Here is a 26199-nt window from a genome sequence, read left to right as displayed (position 1 = left end):
TCAATAAGAATAGAAAGGATCTAAAATATAAAATTTACCTGAATTTACATTTAAATTAAAACAAAGGCAAGAAGATGTTGGCATGGGGCACTAATTAATGCCGACATAGAAACTGGAATATCCTTTTGCATTTCTGTTAATCCACACCACAGATAATTATCTAGTGTTTTCATTGCTTTTCTATAAAACCATAGATTATATTATATAAACAGGGAAAATAATTAGCTGTTCCCCTTCTGCCAAACTTTTTTATCATAATTAACTTACGAAACCTCCCCTGAGTTATTGAAGTGGGTCTTTAATATACATTGGGGATTTGGGAGACGGGACAGGGAATTATTTGATCGTGAGACTGTGGTATGGGTCCTAAAACAGACAGCTATTCAGCTGGTAAGCATTCTTCTTTGTGAATCTTCGGCTGGCATATACAGGTCTGTTTTATGGTGGAAACTATATTCTACACATTTATGAAAATACTGCTCTATAGAGATAATGCTGAATGGTTTTATGATAAAATGAGACAAATGTGTAGTACAAGGAAGTTTATTTTGTCAAAATGGTTTCTAAATATTGGGTTTAAAAGACTAATAAAACAAAAGCTCAGAAATGGAAAGTAGTTACTTTTCAAAGCTATTTAAAAAATTTTTTGATGCCCCAATTTCTATCACTTTTTTTTTTTTTTTTTGAGACGGAGTCTCGCTTTTTCGCCCAGGCTGGAGTGCAGTGGCGTGCTCTCTGCTCACGGCAACCTCTGCCTCCCGGGTTCAAGTGTTTCTCCTGTCTCAGTCTCCCGAGTAGCTGGGACTACAGGTGCGTGCCACCATGCCTGGCTAATTTTTTTGTATTTTTAGTAGAGACGGGGGTCTCCCCATGTTAGCCAGGATGGTCTCGATCTCCTGACTTCGTGATCCACCCGCCTTGGCCTCCCAAAGTGCTGGGATTACAGGCATGAGCCACCGCACCCGGCCCACTTTTTCAAGATGTCAATTCACTTAGTTAAGAAGGAGAGTTACTGTGTGGACTGCAGACAAGTTTCATGGCTTTATGGGCTGTGTGATGAGACATAGGGTCTGTCTTTACAATGTGTTTTCACTGGGCTTGTTCTCCTTCCACTTAAAACGTATTTTTCTCAGTGCAGACACATGAATGACAGAGAGGATTTTGCCAAAACACTTTGGGAGTTGGGAGGATATGTATATTGCATACGTTGGTTCATTCATCATTTTAATTTGGCACCTTTGTGCCTGACCTGCCCTAGATGCCAGATGGAAGCATGATAAGGAGACTCAGGTCCTGGTTTCAAGGAACTCAGAGTTTACTAGTTCAGAGAAACAAAGTTTTATTAATGAAGGACTCAAAGGGAGAACAGAGAGGTGGTCAGGGATGCTGCCCCTTGAGAAGCAATGAGTCTGAATTTAGTAGGTAGAAGGATATGATGGTGGAGGGAGTCAGGGAACAAGGCAGCACGAAGCATATGAGAGTGAGTGGGGCTAACTCGGGAACTAGAAGTAGCTTGGTCTGGCTTGGAAAGGTAAAAGGACCCTTGATGTGAGAGGCCTTAGAATAAGTCAAATTTTAGGATTTAATTCCTGCCTTCTGGGAATTTGCGTTTTAAGAGAGTGTGCCAATAAAAAAGAGTATGAAGTATTATGAACAAAGTTTATATAAAGCACTGTAAGATTCCGGAGAAGGAGAAATGTGATGCCTAAATTTGACAGGTCACCTCGTCAGCATAGGTTTCATGGTGAGCTCACAATCAGTCAGGATTTGTGTGTGCGAGCATGCATGTGTGTGTATTAGTCTCACGCTGCTAATAAAGACATACCCGAGAATGGGTAATTTATAAAGCAAAAGAGGTTTAATGGACTCACAGTTCCACGTGGCTGGGGAGGCCTCACCATCGTGGTGTAAGGTGAAGGAGGAACAAAGGCATGTCTTACATGGCAGCAGGCAGGAGAGTGTGTGCAGGGGAACTGCCCTTTATAAAACCATCAGATCTTCTGAGATTTATTCACTATCACAAGAACAGCATGGGAAAAAAAAACCCACCCCCATGATTCAAATACCTTGCACCAGGTCCTCCCATGAAACATGGGGCTTGTATGAGCTACAATTCAAGATGAGATTTGGGTAGGGGCAGAGCCAAACCGTATCAGTGTGTGTGTTTGAGAGAGAGAGAGAGAAAACTCACAAGTGGGTGTGCAAAAACTTTAAATTCATGGAATTGCCCATGGTAGGGGCAGGAAGGAAGACATAAAATAGAGGTAGCATGGTGTTTATCATGGATTAGAATTATTTTCGTAAGTAAGAGCTTTGAGCAGGTCTGATGAACTAGCACAACCTCTCGTTTTGAGTTAGTATGCCTTCAAACTGTAGATCAGTTTCTCAACCAGGGGCGATTTTGCCCCCTTGGGGATATTTGACATTGTCTCAAGACAGCTGGGAGAGGGTGCTACTGGTGTGTAGCATGTAGAGGCCGGAAGTGCTGCCTTACATCTTACAATGTACAGGATTGACCGCCACGATAAAGAATTAACAAGGTCCAAATGTCAATGACACTGAGGTTGAGAAACCCTGACTTAGAGGTTCCCAAAGTATGTGGATATGCTTGTGTGGGTCTGCATTTAGTAGAGAGGACAAACGTAGATTCCAAAAGATCAGTGTATGTGTACTCATGCACTGACTCAGTATTCTGTGTACTTTGTGGAACTAACAATATTGTGTTACTTGCAGAATGTGTGAACAAGTAAGATTCCTTGTAAAAAAAATGGTTAGTGCTCTAACTACTGCTCTTATGCCTGTTAGCTGGGTCAAGTTGGTATGGCTTCTTTTCTTAACAAGAAATATAAAAGTTAATGGCTTAATTTTTAAAGAACACAGAATCTTGAAATAATAATAGGATTGAAATAACTGAAGACACAAAGTGTTAAAATCTTGGAGCATATTTTATAAAGCATATATTCTAGGAAGATGTTTTCTTAATTTTTCTGTTCATAGTTGCAGTAGAAACATACATTTTTCTTTAGAATATCTTTCACCATGTGTATTAGGGTTCTCTAGAGGGACGGGACTAATAGGATAGATGTATATATGAGATAGATGTATATATGAAGGGGAGTTTATTAGGAGTATTAACTCACACAGTAACAAGGTGAATTCCCACAAGTGGCTGTCTGCAAGCTGAGGAGCCGGGAAGCCAGTCCTAGACCCAAAACCTCAAAAGTAGGGAAGCCAACAGTGCAGCCTTCAGCCCATGGCTGAAGGCCTGAGAGCCCAGAGCCCCTGGGAAACCACTGGTGTAACTCCAAGAGTCCAAAAGCTGAAGAACTTGGAGTCTAATGTTTGAGGGCAGGAAGCATCCAGCACGGGAGAAAGATCTGCTCCTCTGCCTGCTTTTATCCTAGCTGTGCTGGCAGGTGATTAGATAGTGCCCACCCAGATTAAGGGTGGGTCTGCCTTTCCTTGTCTACTAACTCAAATGTTAATCTCCTTTGGCAACACCCTCACAGGCATACCCAGGAACAATACTTTGCATCCTTTAATCCAATCAAGTTGACACTTAATATTAACCATCACACCATGTAAATACAGCTAAACTAAATCAGCAAGTAAGAATCCAACTCATGAAAAGTGAGCATGTCCTTGGTTATTATAATTTGAAGTCTGGCTTATCTAAGTAACTGTATGAATACATAATTGTGTTCTGTTTAACCGAGTGATGTTTATTTGGGAAAAGAATACAAAATAAAACTCATTTTATACAATAGAGAGTAAGGAAAATGTACTAGAAGCAAAACAGCTAATTATCACATGAAATTTTCACCTCGACAACAGCATTATAGAATATAGCAGTTGCTACCACAAAACCAGGGAGGGCGTCACTGTCTTTTTATTTTTTTCTTTCTTTCTGCATAAAACTGGAAATTCATTACAGGTTGGCAGCTTGAAGACAGGGGTATTATGTGTTTTCATAAGTCAGGAAGCATGGGGCTTTTAAACGAATTTTATTTTAAAAATAGAAGTGACAAGACACTTTCTCATTTAAAGTGTATTATGATATTTTGTAACAGGAAAAAAATATCTATGCCTCCTACAAACTTATTTTCCTGTGGAGACAAGGCTCAGTAAAGTGGGCAGATGTTCTCACCAGTAACTTTAATAAAATCCTACTTCTGAGTCCTTTGTCCCTGCTAGTGAGGCTGAAGGTGCACTCGAAGCTTAAATTTCCTGGCTGTTTAATCACCTTATTCTCTGTCAGGTCGAGCCCTCAGTGGGTTCTTACCCTTGCTGTCAGTTTTTAGTCAATCCTTAACTCATAACGGAATTTGCAATGTGTCTTTTGATTATTGTGGTGTTTCCTTCTACGTCTGTCATTTCTGAGAGAGCACTTGCCATAAAGCCTTTCACAAAGAAACTCCATCATGGGTAACACTTTGACGAACAAGGGCACCTCACAATGTATTCTTCTGTGAGATGGGAAAATATATATATTTGCAAATAGGACTCCTTTACATTTCAGGGCAGCTTGCTATTTTAAGGAATCTGAGGCAAATCTGTTTTTAGAAGAAAGCATCACTCCATATTTTCCAATTAAACGAAAAACCTGGTAGATAATCTCATAAGAGTTCTGTCTTGGTCTTTCAGGTTTCCTTTTTAAATTTTTTAATTTAAATCCCTAAACACTAGGTAAATGCTGATTTTTTTTCCTGTAGTTAAGAAGTGGCATAGTGTTCTGTGATATACATCCGGATCCGTCATTTTTATTTCCCCCTCCAGCTCCTTTTCTAGGTTTTGGCATCAGAAGTACCTTGTGTCCCCATGGGTTCAGTAAGTAAGTGCTGACTGGAATTTATCTGCTGAAAGGTTGAGATTATCTGATTCATTGTTTTTCTCTGCAGGGAATTTATTCCGCAATTTCTCACTTCACTCCCACCTCAGTTGCTCTTCTGTTTTAGAGTTTGTTCTTCTCAAACTCTTCTGGCACCCAGTTTTGTCTACCTTATTGCACTACTTGGCTCAGACTCCTTCCCTGGCTGTCTGCTGCTGAGAGACCCAAGTCTAATCTTGAATTTTCCTCGAGAGCCCCTAATGGTTCCTTCCCAGACACCCTCCTAATCTGGGTGTCCAGGGCTTCCCTGACCATCTCTCACTTCAGCCACATGCGTCTGCTGGCTTCCAGGTGGAACCGTCACTGTCGCTCCTGTCTTCAGTTGTGGACCTCTGGCCACCTGTCAAGACTGCTTTTGAATCTTTCATGAAACTCTGATACCTTTCCAAAGTACACGGGTTCTCACTCCTGAGTGGAAGAAAGTTAGTCTGAGGAAGAGTTTTGAAGACAAAGTATTTTAAATTCAGCTCTAATTCTATGTAAATACAACTAAGCTCTGTCAACATTTATGTAACTTTTCTAGTCCTGCAGATGGTATTTTAAATTGAGGTCTGGGGGCCATCTCTTATTTATTTTTATATCCACTTGGAACCAATCTGTGGTATTCAGACAAGAATGAGTGGTCAACACTATGAGTATAGTAAAACTCTATGTAGAACTTCCTAATCTAAAATATTATTGAAAATTGTGTTACAGTAGAAAGACTACTGGATAGAGAAGAAGAAAATCTAGATTCTAGTACCACCCTCCACCCCTTTACTAACTCTGAGGGAAGCTCTGGTTTTTATCTGTGGTACCATCTGGCTCCCCTTTCTGGCTTCTGAAGGTTGTTGGGACAATCAAAAGAGGAACAGTAAGTAGAAGTGCTTTGAAAGTGACACAGCTCCATGAAGCTGCAAGGGGAAATTGTTATGATATTTGAGGCTGCAAAGAATATAACTTAACTTTTTCTTTTTTTTTTTTTTGAGACAGAGTCTTGCTCTGTCACCCAGGCTGGAATGCAGTGGCGCGATCTCGGCTCACTGCAACCTCTGCCTCCCGGGCTCAAGTGATTCTTCTGCCTCAGCCTCCTGAGTAGCTGGAACTACAGGTGCACACCACCATGCCCAGTGAATGTTCGCATTTTTAGTAGAGGCGGGGTTTCATCACGTTGGCTAGGCTGGTCTTGAACTCTTGACCTCAAGTGATCTGCCCACCTAGGCCTTCCAAAGTGCTGGGATTACAGGTGTGAGGTACCATGCCTGGCCAAGAATATAACTTTATTAGGTTTTACCTGCTATGTACATCCATCCCAGTTTAGTGGCAGTCTCTGGCACAATAAATAACCAATTTGGCTAGATTCCTTTCTTGGTGTTGGCAATGCCTGATTTAAATAACAAGTGGTTACCCTAGATCACAAATCCACCTGACTTAGGTACTATTTGTTTTGATGGATATCACTAGATAGTAGCTCAGTATATTCGGCCAGAATCGGGTACAATGTGGCCACTTGTGGAGAAGATTCTACAATGTCTGGCCCCTTCAGTGGATAATGAAATTGTCCCGTGCTCTCATCATGCCACATAGTGTTTGTCTGGGGAACTGTTTGAATGCACTGGCTGCCTCCTTCCATACAAGGATTTGTTTCTAGTAGATGCATAAGGGAGGGAGGTATGAATATAAGCGTTAGCACTTGGGCTCTAGCATTAGACTGCCTCTCTTCAAGAGCTTGTTTGACTGTTTTCAGACTCTGTGACCTTGCCCTAGTCACTTAAGGCCCCTGGACCTCAGTTTTTTCATTTCGATGAAGTACAAGATAATGTTTTTAAAAATATTTTTTATTTCAAAAGGTTTTGGGGAACAAGTGGTTTTCTATTACATGGGTAAGTTCTTTAGTGGTAATTTGAGATAGGTGAGGGGTGCACCAATGAGCGGTATACACTGTACCTCATGTGTAGTCTTTTATCCCTCACCTCCCTGCCCTGAAAAATAATTTTTAACCTCAGGTTTGTAGTGAGGTTTAAATTAGAAAATGCAGGAAGGAAATTAGCCGGGTGCCTGGCCCTCAATAAAAAGTAGCTGTTAGGATTTGTAAAGCTTTGTTTGAACTAGAGTTTCTGACTTCACAGGCAGCATAGTTTGAGTCAAACCTGTCAGGAAAGTCTTCAGGGCTTCCTATATATAAGACTGTGTTGCCTGCAGAGAAAATTTAACTTCTTCCTTTCTAATTTAAGTACCTTTTTTATTTTTTTCTTGCCTGCTTGCTCTAAGACTTTTGGTACTCTATTGAATAGAAATGGTGAGCGTAGATATCCATGTCTTGTCGTATATGACCTTTATAATGTTGAAGTACATTCCTTCTGTATAAAATTATCTTTGTTGAGAGTTTTTATCATAAAGGGATGTTGAATTTGGTCAAATGATTTTTCTGCAGGAGATGACCATATGATTTTTATCCTTCATTCTGTTAATGTGGTGTATCACATTTATTGATTAAGCATTCTTGCAGCCCAAGGATAAATCCCATTTAATCATAGTGGAGGATCCTCTTAATGTGATGTTCAATTCAGTTTGCTAGTGTTTTGTTGAGGATTTTTGATGTATGTTTATCAAGGATATTGGCCTATAATTTTCTTTTTTGTAGTGTCCTAATCTGGCTTTGGCATGAAGGTAATGCCGGCGTTATTAAATGAGTTTGGAAGTGTTCTCTCTTCTTCGATTCTTTGGAAGAGAAAGTGGAGAGTTTTTATTTTTATTTTTATTTTTTTTTGAGATGGAGTCTTGCTCTGTCACCCAGGCTGGAATGCACTGGCGTGATCTCAGCTCACTGCAAGCTCCACCTCCCGGGTTCACACCATTCTCCTGCCTCAGCCTCCTAAGTAGCTTGGGACTACAAGCACCGGCCACCACGCCTGGCTTTTTTTTATTTTTAGTACAGATGGGGTTTCACATTGTTATCCAGGATGGTCTCGATCTCCTGACCTCATGATCTGCCTGCCTGGACCTCCCAAAGTGCTGGGATTACAGGCATGAGTCACGGCACCCGGCCAAGTTCTTCTTTAAATACCAGGTACTAATAAATTCAGTAAAGCTGCAGAATACAAAATCTACATCCAAAACTCAGTCGCATTTCTCTAGCAATGAACAATCCAAGAAATTAAGGAAGCAATCCTATTTTTATAATAGCATCAAAAAATATAAAACACTTAAGAATCAATTTAACCAAGGAGGTAAAAAAATCAGTACACTAAAAACTGTAAGACATTAATGAAAGAAACAGAACAATATCCTGTGTTCGTGGATTGGAAAAATATTGTTAAAATGTCCATACTCTCCAAAGCAATCTACAGATACAATCCCTAACAAAATTCCAGTGGCATTTTCCACAAAGATAGAAAAACAGTCCTAAAATTCATATAGAACCACAAAAGACCCCAAATAGCTAAAGCAATTTTGAAAAAGAAGAACAGAGTTGGAGGCACACAGCCCGATTCCAATTATATTACAAAGCTATAGTTACCAAAACAGTATGGCACTGGCATAAAAATAAATAGACATGTAGACCCATGGAACAGAATAGACAACTCAGAAATAAATCCATTCATTTATAGTTGACTAGTCTTTGACAGGGTGACAAGACTACACAATGGGGAAAGGATAGTCTCTTCAATAAAGGGTGCTGGGAAAATTAGATATTCCCATGCAAAAGAATGAAGTTAGACCTGTGACTTAAACCACATGGAAAAGTTAACTTGAAAAGGATGTAAATGTAATCTGTGAAGTGAAACTATGAAACTCCTAGAAGAAAACATAGGGAAAAAGGTCCTTGATATTGATCTTAGATGTTTTGGTTATGACACCAAAAGTACAGGCAACAAAAGCAAAAATAAACAATTGGGACTACATCAAATGAAAAAGCAGCCTAGAGAATGGTAGAAAATATTTGCAAGCCATATATCTGATAAGGAGTTAAGATCCAAAATATAAAAGAAACCTACCTGCTCAAGTGCCAAAAATTAATACCCTAATTAAAAAGTAGGAAAAGGAGCTGAATTGATATTTTTCCAAGGAAGACATACAAATGACTAACAGGCATATGAAAAGGTGAAGGAATGCCAGGCCCTCCCATGTTCCTGTGGCTTCTTGTAATTGACTTTAAGTGGTTGCTGTCCACTCACTAGAATGGCATGGAGAGATGAATACCATGTATGATGGAAATTTTTAGTGCTTTTAGTTTTTCCTATTGACAGCATCAAACTTAAGAACCAGTTGCAATACCATTGTAACCTGCAATCAAAGATGATGACCATATTAACAGCTGACATTTTCTGAGACTATTGTGACTGGCTCAAAGTCAGCAAAGACTTTCACACGTGGATTAACTTTATCCTCTTAACATCCTGGGGTGAGGATCTACTTTTCAAATGAAGAAACTGACACTAAGAGAAGTCCGAGAACTAGTGTAATCTAGACAATGGCACAGTCAGATTCAAACCCAGGCAAGCCCACCACAAAGCCTGAGATCTCACCAGCTATATTTTACAATTGGGCAGTCCACTGCAAAAGTGATCTGTTTTATATTTGTATAAATTTAAGGGTACATAGTGGTGAAGTCTGGGCTTTTAGTGTAGCCATCACCCAAATAGTGTACTTTGTACCCCTTAAGTAACTTCTCGTCCTTCCCACCCTTCCAAGTCTCCAATTTCTGTTGTTCCATGACTCTATGTCTCTGTGTACACATTATTCAGCTCTCATTTATAAGTGAGAAAATGACTGACTTTTGACTTTGTTTCTGGGTTATTTCACTTAAGATAATGATCTCCAGTTCCATCCATGGTGCTGTAAAAGACAGGATTTCATTCTCTTCTGTGGCTCAGTAGTATTTGATAGCATATCTATACCACATTTTCTTTATCCCGTCCTCCATTGATGGACACATGTTGTTTCCATGACTTTGCTATTTATTACTAGTGCTGTGATAAACATATGAGTGCAGGTGTCTTTTTGATATAACAGTCTCTTTTCCAGGGGTGGGATTGCTGGATTCAGTGGTTGATTTTTAGTTCTTTGAGAAATCTCCATACTGTTTTCCATAGAGGTTGTACTAATTTACCTTCACAGCAACAGTGTATAAGCATTCCCTTTTCTCTGCGTTCTCACCAACATCTGTTGCTTTTAAAATTTTTAATAAAAAAATGAAATATTTTGTAGAGTATATGCCTGATTGGATTCCTTCAATTTACCAACCGTAAATTTAATAGCAATCTTTGAACTCAGTGTACTACTCTGTATTGAGTTTTATTTTGTCCATCTTTGGAGGAAGAAACAGTGTCACAAATATTATTTGGCCTTTGTTTTCCAGCTTCCATTGTGATTCAGAAATGGTGGTGTCACATGAATCCGTGTTTGGAAGGAGAGGATTGTAAAGTGCTGCCAGATTACTCAGGTTGGTCCTGTAGCAGTGGCAATAAAGTCAAAACTACGAAGGCAAGTATAGACAAAATGCAACTACAATTTACAAGTTATCAACTGTGGGGCTTTCTCCCCTTGATTTTATTCTGCCATCAAGAACACATTATTATGTGTTAATAAACCTGCTTGGGCAGTGCTACCTTACGGATTTGGCCTTTTTGAAAAGCGCATTTCCCGGCATCATTCTGTGTGTCAGATTTTATAGAACAGTGATTTGGTGGGAGAATTCATTATTTTAGGCAGGGCTACTAAATTCATTTCAGCTTCTTCACAAGCCCGATTTAAAGTAAAGGTTTCAGAGTCGACAGGCCAATGTATCAAAACACCATGACAAGAATCCACATCCAGATGATTTACTCAAGTAGAAATACCTATTGCTTTAAAGGAGATTTAATGGTTGGAGATTCTTATTCAAGACTTAGAAGCCAACGCTTTTCTCCCCAAGTGGTCGTCTTTTCAATTCTCACTGTTGCTGAAGAACACCATTGTCTACCCAGTCCTCCAGCCAGAAACCTACCTTCTTCCTATGTTCAGTTGGTTACATTGTCCTTAGGATTTTTACTACCCAACTTTTCCATGATTCTTCAACACTGTGCTTACTCCTCTTGTCCAATCTGCCATCTCATATGGAGATGAATCTAGACTGCTAGACTGCTGCCTTCCAGTCTGGTCCCTACACAGTGACTACAATAATTTTGTAAAATGCACATCCTCTAAGCTAGTCCACCTCAAAATATTCCACTGGCACCCTCTGGTGATTGGTCCACTAGCCTCTGCCTGGTCCTTAATGTGTAACATGGCCAAACCACCTCCGCTTCCTTCTTGCTGCTCTAAACATCCTGGCCTTTTGTCAGTCCCTCTTACCCTGGTCCTTTGGCATGGGCTGTTCCCTCTTCATAGAATATGTTTCCCTCCTTTCTTTTCTGGCTAATCATCATTTTTTCGGGGACTTCTTTCCTGATTGAATTCAGGCTCCCTGTATCTCTGAGCATTTATTATGGTTACATTTTACATAGATTGCTATCCATATTTTGCTTAATACCTAGAGCTTTCTGTCTGGTGGGAGAGCTTTGATGTTGGGCCCTGGCTTTGTTTTTGCTTTCCCTGCTAGTCCCAGAGCCAGATGAATGCCTTGGTAACTATTTCTTGAATGAAAAATGACATGACCAAGGTCATTCTAAGATCATTAGAGCTGGACATACTGGAATGGAGTGAGTCTTTGGTTCTCATTGCTATTGAGCTTTGATCCCTTAGGAAGTACATACAGTGAATGGCTTCTTGCCTTTCTTATGTCGTCCCCTTTATGAATACTTTGAATGAGAACTCTTAAGTGTTTAGTAATTCATCTTCAGCCATGGAGGTCAAAAACAGGCCAGTTCTCCTTCTAAGTGTGAACTTGAACTTATACATTAAGATTTTGTAAAATATATTAAAATATAAAGATATTAAGTCTAAAACAAAATAGAAAATATGATTCTACAATACATTTTAAATGGGAACTTTAGCTGATATTATACCCCAGATTATCAATGGAATAGTTGTCGGTTGATTCTCTAGGTAAAACCAGACCATTTTCAACGTGAATTGCGGTTGTCAACTAACTTATCCTTGTTAGTGATACTGAGATGACTGGGATAACGATCTGATATCTGCTTTTATGTCCAGAGCAGCAGAAGTCCATGGAGTCATTTACTGGTGGTGCAAGGAGGTCAACACTCGTATCATTCTAAGCCATTCCCAATAAATTTCCATGCTATATAGACTCAGCGTGCTTGCTAAGCAAACCCTGCCTTAAGATAATTTCCCTATCTTTCCCTTGTCCCATTTCAGCTATTTTTTCCTAATTCCTTCCTAAGTGAAAATCTTGGAGTAGCCCACGAATTAGGGTATTACATCCATCAGTGTATTTCTTGTAGGCTAAGGAATAATATTTTGGAAGATTATATTTGTATTGATTTTTATATATAAATATAAAACAAGATCATGAGCAAAAGCCAACTGTAGTTCTCTTGGTAGAACGGCTTTCTATTTATGTGTAGTTAGAAAAGGCATTTGCAGGAAGCAAACCTTTAGGGGCATTTTGGCTCTGTGCTGGGAATGTAAGTTTGCTGTAGCTAAATCCTCAATGGTAGTGACATTTCATTTAGCACTTCGAAAAGTTGTAGAAAGATAATACAGTTCCCCAAGCCATCATGATACTTGGGCTGCTTTTTTAGTGATATGTCACTTGAGAATAATCTTGAAGTCATAAAACTTTGTTTCCTTTATTAATCTAAGTCAGTGTGACTTGAACTGCATAAAACATTTTATGTCTTTTATGGATCTTATGCACATAGAGTAAATTCATTTGTGGATCTGTGACTAGCTTCCAGTAGTATCTTTTTCTTAAAATTGTTACTGACCTTACACCACAGGTAAGACAGAGGTCCTAGAAAAGCAGAGCAATTGTCTCCCTAGAGGACGTATTAACTAAACTGTATAACAATAATAGTTTCCATTTTCTTTAAATAGTTCATGCACAGCAGCATCAAAACACAGAAAAGCTAAAGGTAAGATGGTCTCCAGTAAGTCAGCTATGTCAGAATTTTATTTTCCATTTAAATGCAAATATGAAAATAGTTGGCAGTTAACTTGAATATTAATAGCTTTAGATGAAGATATGAAAAGAGAGAGGATAATTCCCTAACTAGTTATCTTTTCCAGGTATAAAATATTGGCACTGAGTTTACTCTGCCGACAGTTTTCAGTGTCTCTAGAGGGGATGCAGCTACTGCTTCTTTTGGGAAAATATGACTCTCTCTGTGGACCTGCCTTAATTTTTTTTTTTCTTAATTGAAATCTGGGTTTTGCTGCATTCGGTGAGCTAAAGAGTTTTTTACTATCTGGGGTTGCCATTTTAAGCCTTCTAACAAGGGTATGATATCTTCTTAGCAACGAAGCCAAGCATTTGCCGTATCTTGTTTGTGAGCAGAAGCAAATCACTTTGAATCTTAAGACATTTTAGACTTTTTAATGTTCTTATTTTTGAATCCTCTACTAAGGGTGAAAAGCTATGTCTTTAGAGTAGCAGTTCTCAACCAGAGACAATTTTGCCCCTGAGTAGACATTTGGCAATGTCTCGGATATTTCTGGTCATCACACATTGTGAGGATGCTACTGGCATCTTGTGGGTAGAGGCCAGGGATGCTACTAAACATCCTACAAAGCACAGACAGCTTCTACAACAATTATTTGACCCCAAATGTCAATAGTATGAAGGTTGAAAAGCTGCTTTAAAGAATAGTATATTTTTTTCAGTAGCTCTTTGCAAACTTCCTACTTGATTCTTTTACTTCATTTTGTTTTTCAAAGTTTCTATTGTCTAAATATTTCCAATATTTCATATTGGAAAATTTGTACAGAATGGAAGCAACAGTTTTGTCTTCAGTATCTTCCTCAAATGGCTCTCTAATCTGCCTGTCCCTTAGGCCATCACCATGGGTCATTGTCAATATAATAATAATTTAATGCTATCATGGGAACGTGTAAAAAACACAGTTTTGAACTCTACCTCTAGGATATTCTGGTGTAGTAAGTCTGGGATAGGGCTTAGAAAACCACGCTTTTAAAAAAGTTGTTCTTAGGGTGATTGTGATCAACAGGCAGTATGAGGGAACCATTAGTCTAACTGAGCTCTCTACCTGTTCTCACCTTTAATTGGCTTATACCTTGCTTTCTCTGCATCAAAGGTAAGCTCCCTGCCCAGGTTCCCTCCCTGTTGAGAGAACATCAATGGATCCCCATTGGAAACTGATGCAAAATACAGATTATAAGCATCTTAAATGGGCCTTCACTGCCAATCATTGTACAGGCCATGTATTTCCCCATACCATTGCTGCCTCCTTTTTCCACTTGCCCTTCTAAAATTCCACTTGTCTTTTAATGTCCAGCTCAGATGACTCCTTTACCCTCAAGTTTTGTCTTCCCTGATCTCTATAGTCAGACTTGAAATGCTCAGGGTACCCTGATGAATGGGAATAGAGCTAATATTGGCATCTTAGTAGCCTTGTATCCGTCAAAATTCAGAAGTAGCAATGAATCTTCCACATGTAATCAGTACAATAATAATTTTAAAGGAAAATAAGTCTGAGAGCATTTTATCATCCAACTTCAGTGAAGTTGTCCAAAATGAGCTGGGCATAGGGAATAAGTTGCCTCAAAGAAGATGCTTTTGACAATTACATCCCGGATGTAGACTGATAGATCCAGAAAGAGCTAACATCACAATAGCCACCATTCCCTGAGTACAAACCATGTGTCAACCACTGGGCTGTGTCATTCAAGTCACATATTTTATTTACTCTTTGACGGGGGCAGGTACTATTATCTCTATTTTGCAGATGAAGAAACTAAGGCAAAGGGAGACAATCTCTACCCCATCACAGAACATGGCCAACTCCATCATTCAGTTGCTCAAGCCAAAGATCTTGGAATTGTCCTTGATTCCTCTTTCTCTTACATCTTTGTTCTATTTGTCACAACTCTTTAAGTTGACAGTTCAGTCTTGCCATGCATTCCTCATCTCTTCCTTGAACCTCAGAAAAAGGCCAAAGTCCTTGCATTTAACTCTTCCTCTCCTCCTTCAACCTTCCTTGACATCCTGTATAGAAGAGCGGCCCTCTACCCTCCCTGCCTCAGCCTTTCTTTCCTGTATCGTACTACCTTACTTTTCTCCATTGCCCATATTATTAATTTTACCTGTTTATCCAACCTCTTCCTCTGGAATAGGGATCAGCAAACTGTGGCTTACAGGCCAAATCCAGCCCTTGGCCTGCTTTTGTATGGGCCATGAGCTAAGACTGGGTTTTACATTTTTAAGTACTTGGAAAAAATCAAAAACAGAATATTTCAGAATGCATGAAGATTATATGAAATTCAGATTTTACCATCTATACATAAAGTCTGGAACAAAGCAATGCCCATTCATTTATTTATTGTCTATGGCTACTTTTGTGAATGAAATAAAGGCAGAGTTAAGTAGTTGCTATAGTGACTGTATGGCCTGCAGAGCTGAAAATATTTACCATATTGAGTCCTTTCCAGTAAAAGTTTTCCAGTCCCTGCACTAGAAGGTAAGCTCCATGGGGGCAGGGTTTTTGTTTAGTTTGCTGTAGTTACCCAGCACAAACAAAAGGGGAGTAATACTGTTGAGTACATAAAGGCCAGATGTCAGTTAATAGCAACGCTGAGGTTTGCATACATAGCTGATTGGGTCTAAAGCCTGGGTATGGTGACTATACTATCAAATAATTTGCTTTGAAAAAATATTTTTGTGGTGTAGGCATGTTAAAGTCTTATGCTTTTTTTTCCACCTGTGCTGGTATATTGACTAACAAACACGTAAAATTTCTTACATGAATAGAAACTGCTGTTCAATTTTCTTAGATCACAAGCAATGAGCCTGGATGTCTGAAAAATACAACCACTACCTTTTTAATGGATAATACAGCAGTTTTATAAAATAACCTATTTTCAAAAGTGAAAGTTAACTGCATAAAAAATAACATAAAAAAGGCAACATTTTTATCTTGACATGCACTGATTTTAATCAACCATTTATTTGAAAAAATTCTAGTGCCATTAACAAAGCATGCTCAGCATGCATGAACTGATGGGCGATGAGTGTACCTAATCAGATGGGATTTTTATAACCTCACAAATACAAAGCCAGACTGCATAATACCCTCTTATGGAAGTCTTTGTGCATGTATTCTTTATATTTCTTGCTTTTAGGCTGCAAAGCAGAATTTGAACTGTTGATTTGGTGAGGTCGGTTATAGGTAAATGTACAAACTGATAAAGTATTCACAGTCAGGACCTTATTGGTCTCGGGGGCAGGAATGGTTATTTCGGTGGGTATAGAGTGTTGAATGTTCCCTTATTTTGATTTGTTTTAGGTAACGCGGTAGCGAAGAGAGAGGTGTGCTTCAATCCTGGAGGGGCAGCAGGAGGCGGAGCTCTTTTGCTTGGATTCCCATCATGGCCCCTTTGCAGAAAATTGTCTAGGATTTCAGCAACTTCATATTTGTATATGTGAGCTGTGAGAGGTGGCATTCACTTAACTGGCCCAGCCCTCTCTGCTTCGTGATTTTATTTCATTGAATTATAACCACAAGCCACCACCCATTTGACATCCTCTCTGGATTCCCAAGGAGCATACCTCCAAAATCCGAGAAGAGCAAATCAGAGTCTTCAAAATGGATCACCACTAAGGGCATGTTCATTCTTCACTTTCTTTCTGCTTTTACAAAAGAACTTGGATGTATGTTCCAAAGGGTCCTCATTCTGTTCCTCTTTTGAACTTTTCCTTTTGTCCTTGTATTAAAGTGGTTTTAAAGGGGTCTAAAAAGATTTTGGCAAAACATATTTGCAGATGTAGATTAGCTGGTGAAGAAAATTACTGCTAGAGATCAACTGATTAACTGGTAAAGAACGTTTATTTTATAACCCTTGAAGAATAGAAGGACATAGTTGGATTATTGTGTGTGCATTGTATTTTTACTTCTATTTTTTTTTTGCTTTCCATTTTCCAGTTAGCAGAGATAAAATGAGAGCGTTTTAACTTCAATGTACCATTTTACTGAGTGCTAAGGAAGCATATCAATTCCAATATTTTATAACCAAAGCTCTATCAGAACATATTTATAAAACTTGTTGGAATTTTTACGGCTTTTGTGTAGTCATGTAGGTAAATCATTTAAAATATAAAACAATCTCAATTTAGATCAAGGGTTATTTCTTAGATCAAATTTATGCCAATTATATGAAAAGATTTTAACTCCGAGACAGGAGTCTTTCAGTGCTGAATTTTTAGACTGTAAATGAGTTCTTCTTAACTTAGCTGTTTCCCTACTTCTGTGACTTCTGTGTTAGCCATCTTATTTCTTTAAAATCTGAGTCCTGATTGGCTTAATGATTTTGCAGCAGACATGTCTCCACATATTCTCAAATGCTGTCATGCGGAAACGTATGAAACAGATGAAGAATGACTGACCCAGATTTTAGATGTATAATGTTGTTAAAGTACATACTACTGTAAAAATATGGGATGAATTTTATATATTAAGAAATGCCAAAAACATAGTTTCTGCACCAAGTTAATTATCCCTGTCCTTTCACATTTATAGGGGGAAAATAAATACTTTAATGTTGTTTATAGCCTAACAGTTATTTGATTTTATTCTTGCAGAGGGAATGGAAAGGAATGGAAAGATTTGTTGGCGTAATTTTTGAATATTTGTTATGATCATATGAATAAGTAAAAAAATTCATCCTGCTGATGGCATACATGTTTTTGTGATTATTATATGCCTTAAGACTTTGTGTTAACATCCTACCTAGGCTTACACATTTTAAACGTGAAAAACTCCTTTTAAAAATAACACTTAACTTTAGGGATGTTGAACTATATGGCAAAGTTGGCACATACATTTGGGTAGCTTAGTTTCTTCTCCCAAACCTATGTAGCATTAAGCTTAGGCACACTCATGATGTTTTACGCATACTTTGCTCCCTTTAGTATTGAGTTAAATATATATATATATATTTAACTATGTATTTAAATATATATATGGAAATTTTATGGTACATGAAACAGTGGCTTGACAGTACTTCACCTTAAGGTACATCTCTGGTGAGTAAACCACTTCCAGGGAATCAGTGGTCCATTTGGGAAAATGGCAGGCCTCAAAGCTGCCATTTCATCCATTGTTGTTTCAAAGTGTACTTTTTTACTTCAAAAGTAAGGCCTGAAATGGGGCTTGCTTTGAGAAGTATTTTAATGTTATCATTCCCATTCCTTTCCTGTAGGGAAATAGGTATGAGAATGTTTGGTATTTTTGCAGAATTTAAAACAAACAAACATACCAGGACAGTTTTGAGGCTGTTGGTCACAGCATGTTAGGACTCTGACTGGCACATGTAGTCCCAACACCTGAGAAACCTTTGCCGCTTGTATCTGTGTGGACACAGCCAAAGTCTCCGTAAAGGAACAGTACCTAGATTTTTCTCTCTCTCCCTCATGTCCGGATGTGCTGCTCCAAACCATGTACCCCTTTGCCTTCATTTCCACATTGGAAAGGTGGAACTCTGTTAATAAATTACATTTAAGGAGGCTCTACAAGACTGTTCAGAGTTATTGGCAAAATTCTCTATCCCTCTACAAACCTATTTTTCTACTCAATTTGGGAGACCTTTATGAGTATTTCCATTTCATAGAGGAGAATTTAAGACCTACAAGATATTAGACCGACCCAAACTCACACAGGGAGTTATTACTGGAAATTATACAATGAGGGTCATGATAAGATAGAGAAAATTCTAGATTTATTTTTGTCTGAGAGTACTTTTAAAATACTATTCTGTATTCTAGGTGTCCGGGTGATGGGCTAGCCTTAAATCTGTAGCCAGATTCTGTTTGCATCCAGCACCTGCGCTCTTTGCCACTATCCCAACGTCAACAAAGTGATGAAGAATATCATCATGTTGCTACCCATTTTTAAAAAAATGGATGCCTTCCTTACACCTTATACAAAAATTAATTAATTCAAGATGGATTAAAGACTTACATGTTAGATCTAAAACCATAAAAACCCTAGAAGAAAACCTAGGCAATACCATTCAGGACATAGGCATGGGCAAGGACTTCATGTCTAAAACACCAAAGCAATGGCAACAAAAGCCAAAATTGACAAATGGGATCTCATTAAACTAAAGAGCTTCTGCACAGCAAAAGAAACTACCATCAGAGTGAACAGGCAACTTACTTACAGAATGGGAGAAAATTTTTGTAATCTACTCATCTGACAAAGGGCTAATATCCAGAATCTACAAAGAACTCAAGCAAATTTACAAGAAACAAACAACCCACCCCATCAACAAGTGGGCAAAGCATATGAACAGACACTTCTCAAACGAAGACATTTATGCAGCCAAAACACACATGAAAAAATGCTCATCATCACTGGCCATCAGAGAAATGCAAATCAAAACCATAATGAGATACCATCTCACACCAGTTAGAATGGCAATCATTAAAAAGTCAGGAAACAACAGGTGCTGGAGAGGATGTGGAGAAATAGGAACACTTTGACACTGTTGGTGGGACTGTAAACTAGTTCAACCATTGTGGAAGTCAGTGTGGCGATTCCTCAGGGATCTAGATCTGGAAATACCATTTGACCCAGCCATCCCATTACTGGGTATATACCCAAAGGAGTATAAATCATGCTGCTATAAAGACACATGCACACGTATGTTTATTGCATCACTATTCACAACAGCAAAGACTTGGAACCAACCCAAATGTCCAACAATGATAGACTGGATTAAGAAAATGTGTCACATATATACCATGGAATACTATGCAGCCATAAAAAAGGATGCATTCATGTCCTTTGTAGGGACATGGATGAAGCTGGAAACCATCATTCTCAGCAAACTATCGCAAGGACAAAAAACCAAACACCGCATGTTCTCACTCATAGGTGGGAATTGAACAATGAGAACACTTGGACACAGGAAGGGGAACATCACACCCCGGGGCCTGTTGTGGGGTGGGGAGAGGGGGGAGGGAAAGCATTCAGAGATATTCCTAATGTAAATGATGAGTTAATGGGTGCAGCACACCAACATGGCACATGTATACATATGTAACAAACCTGCACATTGTGCACATGTACCCTAAAACAAAGTATAATTTAAAAAAACTTAAAATTTTAAAATTGGGTAAAATAATCATAACAGAATTTCTGCTTGAGTTTAAAAGAATATTTGTATTTTAAAAGATTTATTTAAAGGAAACCTGGCCAGGAACAACACTAAAAATATTAAACTGCTCTGTAGTTGGTCTTGGACTATAAGCTGCCTGTAAGTTACATATACCACTGTGCTCATTGGCAGATCACCAGCCCCTCCTCATGCCAGAGGCTACCTGAGAGTGTAACTGAGCAGTCTAGCTTGAAAATGCACTTTTAAACTTCTTTCCCCTCCTTTCTTTCCAGTCTCAAGATGTAACCCCAAAATAAACTGTAGAAACTTTTCCTTAGTCTTAAAATATAGCCTCAAAACATACTTTGAAACTCCATTCCCTTCCCTTTCCCACTATGCACTCCTTCTTTCCCCCATGCACATTTATCTAACTGTATGCTTTTATCTAATTATGTGCTTACTTAGAAGTTCCAGGGGCTAATGTTGAGACAGACCAAGCATGGAGACCCAGCTGCAAAATTCCAGACATTACCTCAAGGGTGGTTAGTCCACACCCCAGCCGCTTTAAGATGACAGCCGCCCATGCTCCTGGTAGACAATAGTTCTAGATAGCCACCAGAAGAAGACACGTGGACCTTGTATTCAGCACCATTCCCCCATGCCTCCCATTCCAAGTTCCCTCTTTAAGCCCTTCTCCCCAGCCGAAAGTTTGAAGTGGTTCCGGAAAGGGTGAGCTGGCTGTTTTCCCCACGGCTAGCTCTGGAAATAGAATCACTTTCCTTTCACTACACTTCATCCTTGTTACTGGTTTTATAAGTGGTGAACAGCTAAGCCTGCACTTGATTACAAGAGCAGATACAATCTAGCATATGTTATGTGGATTTCCAAGGTTGCTTAAACAAGCAGATGTGGCAATATTGAACAGCCTATGTTATCTCACATCGACACTATTGGATGCAGAGGAGAAGCTGCCCCTTTTATGGGTCTATATATACTCCCTCGTCCACCACCATCACTACTTGGCCAGCTACTTTCATTTCAATTTTTGCAAGAACTTGTTGTTGTGTATACAAGGTTGAGCATTGACTCCTGCAAGTGGCAATGGAAACACCATACCAAAAATTCCTATTTCACAGATAAACTGGAAAATGCTTCTGTACAAAATTCTTTGTGCATTATTAGGGACACACTGACCAAGGATAAATCCAATGCTAGTCTGTTGACTAACTTCACCATTTAGTGAAGCAGTCTAGCCTGAACAAACTGGCATAGTATCTGCATATAACCTACGCACATCCTCCCATAAACTTTAAGTCATCCCTAGGTTACTTATACTACCGAATACAATGCACATCCTATATAAATTGTCATCATACTGTATTTAGGGAATACTGACAGGAAAAAAGGTTTGGACATGTTCAGTATAGACACAACCATCTTTCTTTCCCCCCAAGTATTTTTGATCCACAGTTCGTTGAATTTACAAGTGCCCATGGACTGTAATCAGCTCTTAATAAAGTTGTATATCATTTATGAATAACTTGTAGTCCAATTAGTCATTTCATGCCAAAAGAAAAACCAAAAAGCCTTGTCTGAAAACTGGGGCGTGAGGTTTAAGTGCGTGCAGCTGATAGAAAATTGTGAACAGGTAAGACTAGATCGTTTCATGTTTTTTCTTTGTTTCCAAGTCAGAAATTTGAGCAAGTAAAGAAGGGACAAACTCAAACACTCGAGAAGCATTGCTTCCTGTTGCCCTTAGCTGTCGATTTGGCAGAATGTTGAAAAACTCTTGTGCTTTCTTCATGGACAAGTAAATGCCTTGGCCTTTAATAACTATCTGGTGGACATCAGAGCACCACTGGAAAGAAAGATGCAGAACAGCGTTATCCCGATTTGATCTGAAACATGAGATGACAGACAGACACACACACAGACACACACACACATTCCTTCAGGTTCATCTTGTAAAAAACTCAAGCCCCATTCAGCAGCCATATGAGGGGAAACAATCATTTCAAGTTATAAAGTAATCTTGTAAACAGAAACTTAGAACAAAAGAGCCCAGTAAATAATTGATGAACAGTTATTGAAGCATGTTGGGCATCTTTGTAGTATTGATTTTTGGCTATGAAGAAAGCAGGGCTCTGCAAGCTCATACTTTCATCTCTCCTATTCAGTACTATCAATATTCATAGCCCACTTACATGTTAGGAATGTAAAAGTATGCACGTTTTATGTTGTTCATTTGGGCCCTTGCTCTCTGTGGATGAGGTCTCTGACTCATTCCTTAATTATCAGCTTTGATTCTCTTAATGAGAAGTTATCAAAATAGTTCAGGACACTGAATTATTAATTGAATAACTATAATTAATGATCAAGAAATGGACACAAGCAAATAAACTTTGGTCTTTTACTTCCAAGTCTGAAATACTATTCTCAGAAGTTCAGTTGGGTCTCTGAACTTCTCTGCCTTCTCTTTGAATTGCCTCTTCACCATTGCTTTGTTACATGTATTAAGTTCAGTGCTCAGTGTTTTATAGGCCATTCACAGACAGCATAGAAAATAAAATCATGACCTTGCTATTTTAGCATTGCAATAACTGAAAAAGAAAACATAAAAAATAATCCATAGTTTCTCACACACAAGTCAATAGAGTGGAATGCTTAGGTCAGCTCAGTGGGGGCATGGGTTGAAGTAGGAATCAGGACAATACTTTGGAATATTTAAATATTTATGAGTGCTATGTAACTGACAGAGGACCGAAACTGATTCTGAGTGTCACAGCAAAGAAACTAAGGTAAAAACACTAGGTTTCAGCTTGAGAAAAAGCTAGCGACAACTCTTGAAACTGTCAAAGTCAGAAAAACTGGTATTTGATGCTGCCATATGCTATTTCAATCAATCACTGTCTTTCCTGATTCACTACTAGAGCACAGACAAGGAGTAGGAACCGAGCAGGGAATCTGTGAAAGATGCTGTGTCTGATGTTCCCAAGGGAAATGGATTTTGCCTGTGGAAAGTCAATGCAGATGGCTCTGATTTGGCCATGTATGCATTTGGCTTAGGTCAGAGTGAGCGAAGTAGTGAGGGATTTGCATGGGTTTTTGGAGGGCTCTTATTTTACAAAAAAGATTAGGAAAAAGTAATCTTGAAGACCTTTCTCATGTGTTACTCCATTCCTCTTCTTTAAAAAGATCTATGTTGGTTTTTCTCTTCCCTTTTGACATCTCAAACACAAAAAGGGGACAGAAGAGAGTAGGGAACGATTCGGGTTCAGAACAGGGCTTGGAAGGAAGATCTGCCCAATAGCTAATGTGTAAAAATTGATAGATTTGACTACATAAAAAACAAAACTTTGTACATGACACAATCACATAAATCAAACTAAACTCAAACTGGGAATAGTATTAATAGCCTATATGGCAGACAAAATACCGATATTCATATATGGAAAGCTTTTACACATCAGTAAGGAAAAGATGAACATCTCAATAGAAAAGTGAACAGGAGAGAGGCCGAGATGGCTGATTAGAAGCAGCTGCAATCTACGGCGCTCACAAAACAGTGAGTGAATTCTGCACCTGAGGTATCTAGGTTCTCACATTGGGACTGACTAGGAGGATGGCTCAACCCATGGAGAGTGAGGAAAAGCAGGGTAGGGTGATGGTCCACCCATAAGTGGCAAAGAGCCAGGGGAACCCCCACCCCCAGCCAAATGAGGTGGTTAGTAACTGCGTGACCCTTCCTTGGAAACCATGCTTTTCCTATGGATCTTTGCAGCCAGTGGATCAGGAGATCCTTTCATAAGCCTACATCACCAGGGCCTTGGGTCCAAAGCACAGAGCTATGCAGAGTCTTGATGGAGTGGCTGCCTACCTGCTCACTGGGGCATTTAGGGAAACCCGGGAGTTTTGCATACTCCAGCCCCAGGAATTCCAGCAAGGCAGGAGATCCTGTGCATTTGCCTAGGCAAGGGGCTGAATCCAGGGAACCAAGCAGCCTCATTCTGTGGGCCCCCACCCATGGCACCTCATAAGACTCACTGGCTTGGAATTCCAGCTGGCCAGCAGTGGCAGGCTGGAAATGGCCTGAGATGGATGGAGTTCCCAGGGGGAGAGGCAGCTGCCATATCTGCTGTTCCAGTTGGCTGCTGTAGCCTGCCAGTACTAGCGACCAGGAGGAATTCCCCACAACACAGCACAGCTACTGTGTCTGATCATGGCCAGTCTGCTTCTTTAAGTGGGACACCAATCCATCTCTCCTCACTGGGAGGGGTGTCCTGGTGGGAATTTCAACAACTGCAGCCAGGGTTCTAGGGACAGAACTCTCATCATTCCCTGGTGCTGCGGCTCCCAGGGGAGAGGGGCATCCACTATGTCTGTGGTTAGCAGACTTAATCTTTCTATGCTCCTATCTCTGAGGAGGCCGAGTGGTCAGTGTAAGGCACCTGCTCTGCCAAGGAGCAGCCAGATTGCTTCTTTAAGTGAGTCTCTGATCCCATTTCTCCTATCTGGGTGAGACATCCTAACGGGGTCTCCACACACCTCCTACAGGAATGTTCTGGCTGGCATCAGGTCGGTGCCCCCCCGGGATGGTGCTCCCAGAGGAAGGAATGGTCTACCATCTTTGCTGTTTTGCAGCCTTCACTGGTGATACCTCCAGGTATGGGAGGAACAAGGCAACTATGGTCTGGAGTGAACGCCCAGCAAACTGCAGCAGCCCTACAGAAGAGTGACTTGACTGTTAAAACAAACAAACAACAACATTAACAAAAAAGACCCCACAAAACCCCATTTGAAGTTCAGCAACCTCGAAGATCAAAGGTAGATAAGCCCACAAAGATGAGAAAGAATGCAAAAATGCTGAAAACTCAAAAAGCCAGACTGCCTCTTCTCCAAATGACCGCAACACCTCTCCAGCAAGGGAACTGAACTGGGCTGAGGCCGCTGAAATGGATGATTGACAAGTAGGCTTAACGAGGTAGGTAATAATAAACTTCACTGAGCTAAAGGAGCATGTTGTAGCCCAATGCAAAGAAGCTAAGAATCATGGTAAAACATTACAGGAGCCAATAATCAGAATAGCCAGTTTAGGGAGAAGCATAAATGACCTGATGGAGCTGAAAAACACAATATGAGAACTTCACAATGCAACCACAACTATTAACAGCTGAAGAGACCAAGTGGAGGAAAGAATCTCAGAGCTTGAAGACTATCTTTCTGGAATAAGACAGGCAGAGAAGAATAGAGAAAAAAGAATGAAAAGGAATTACAAAACCTCAAATAAATATGGGATTATGTAAAAAGACTGAACCTATGACTGACTGGGCTACCTGAAAGAGATGGGGAGAATGGGGCCAAGTTGGAAAACATACTTCAGTATATCATCCAAGAGAACTTCCCCAACCTGGCAAGACAGACCAACATTGAAATTCAGGAAATCCAGAGAACTCCAGTAAGATACTCAGTGAGAAGATCAATCCTAAGGCACATAATCTTCAGATTATCTAAGGTCAAAATGAAGGAAAAAATGTTAAGGGCAGCCAGAGAGAAAGGTCAGGTCAACTACAAAGGGAAACCCATCAGACTAACAGTGGACCTCCCAGCAGAAACCCTACAAGTCAGATGAGATTGGGGGTCAATATTCAACATTCTTAAAGAAAAGGATTTCCAACCCAGAATTTAATATCCAGCCAAACTAACCTTCACAAGTGAAGGAGAAGATCCTTTTCTGACAAGCAAATCCTAAGGGAATATATTACCAGCAGGCCTGCCTTACAAGAGCTCCCGAAGGAAGCACTAAATATGCAAAGAAAAAACCATTACCAGCCACTAAAAAAGCAGACTAAAGTACACAGACCAGTAACACTATGAAGCAACCACATAAACAAGCATGCAAAATAACCAGCTAGCATCATGATGGCAGGATCAAATTCGCACATAACATTATGAACCTTAAATATAAATGGACTAAATGCCCCAATTAAAAGACACAGAATGGCAAGCTGGATAGTGTCAAGCCCCATTGGTATGCTGTCTTCAAGAGACTCATCTCACATGCAGACACACATAGGCCCAAAATAAAGGGATGGAGGAAAATTCACCAAAGAAAT

At 39.6% G+C, this 26199-nt stretch overlaps 1 protein-coding gene across 4 annotated transcripts in view; it reads left to right on the top strand.

Annotated features, from left to right (window-relative positions):
• The window catches only part of TAFA4 (TAFA chemokine like family member 4), a 200782-nt gene extending 183119 nt beyond the window's left edge, over nucleotides 1-17663 (top strand). For 2 of the 4 annotated variants that reach the window (XM_011533372.2, XM_011533371.2), the window contains exons 5-6: nucleotides 10230-10313; nucleotides 16276-17663. In XM_011533372.2, the coding sequence (XP_011531674.1) occupies nucleotides 10230-10313; nucleotides 16276-16415 (224 nt within the window). In that variant the 3' untranslated portion in view covers nucleotides 16416-17663. Of the gene's footprint in view, nucleotides 1-10229; nucleotides 10355-16275 lie in introns of all 4 variants that reach the window. The other 2 variants (NM_001005527.3, NM_182522.5) reach the window with 1 other exon arrangement.
• Nucleotides 17664-26199: the final 8536 nt, after the last annotated feature.

The sequence above is a fragment of the Homo sapiens genome, chromosome 3, assembly GCF_000001405.40.
Source record: "Homo sapiens chromosome 3, GRCh38.p14 Primary Assembly".
In the NCBI taxonomy this organism is placed as follows: Eukaryota; Metazoa; Chordata; class Mammalia; order Primates; family Hominidae; genus Homo; species Homo sapiens.
Note: the sequence above shows the minus strand (reverse complement) of the source record. Positions and strands in the feature narration are given on the sequence as shown.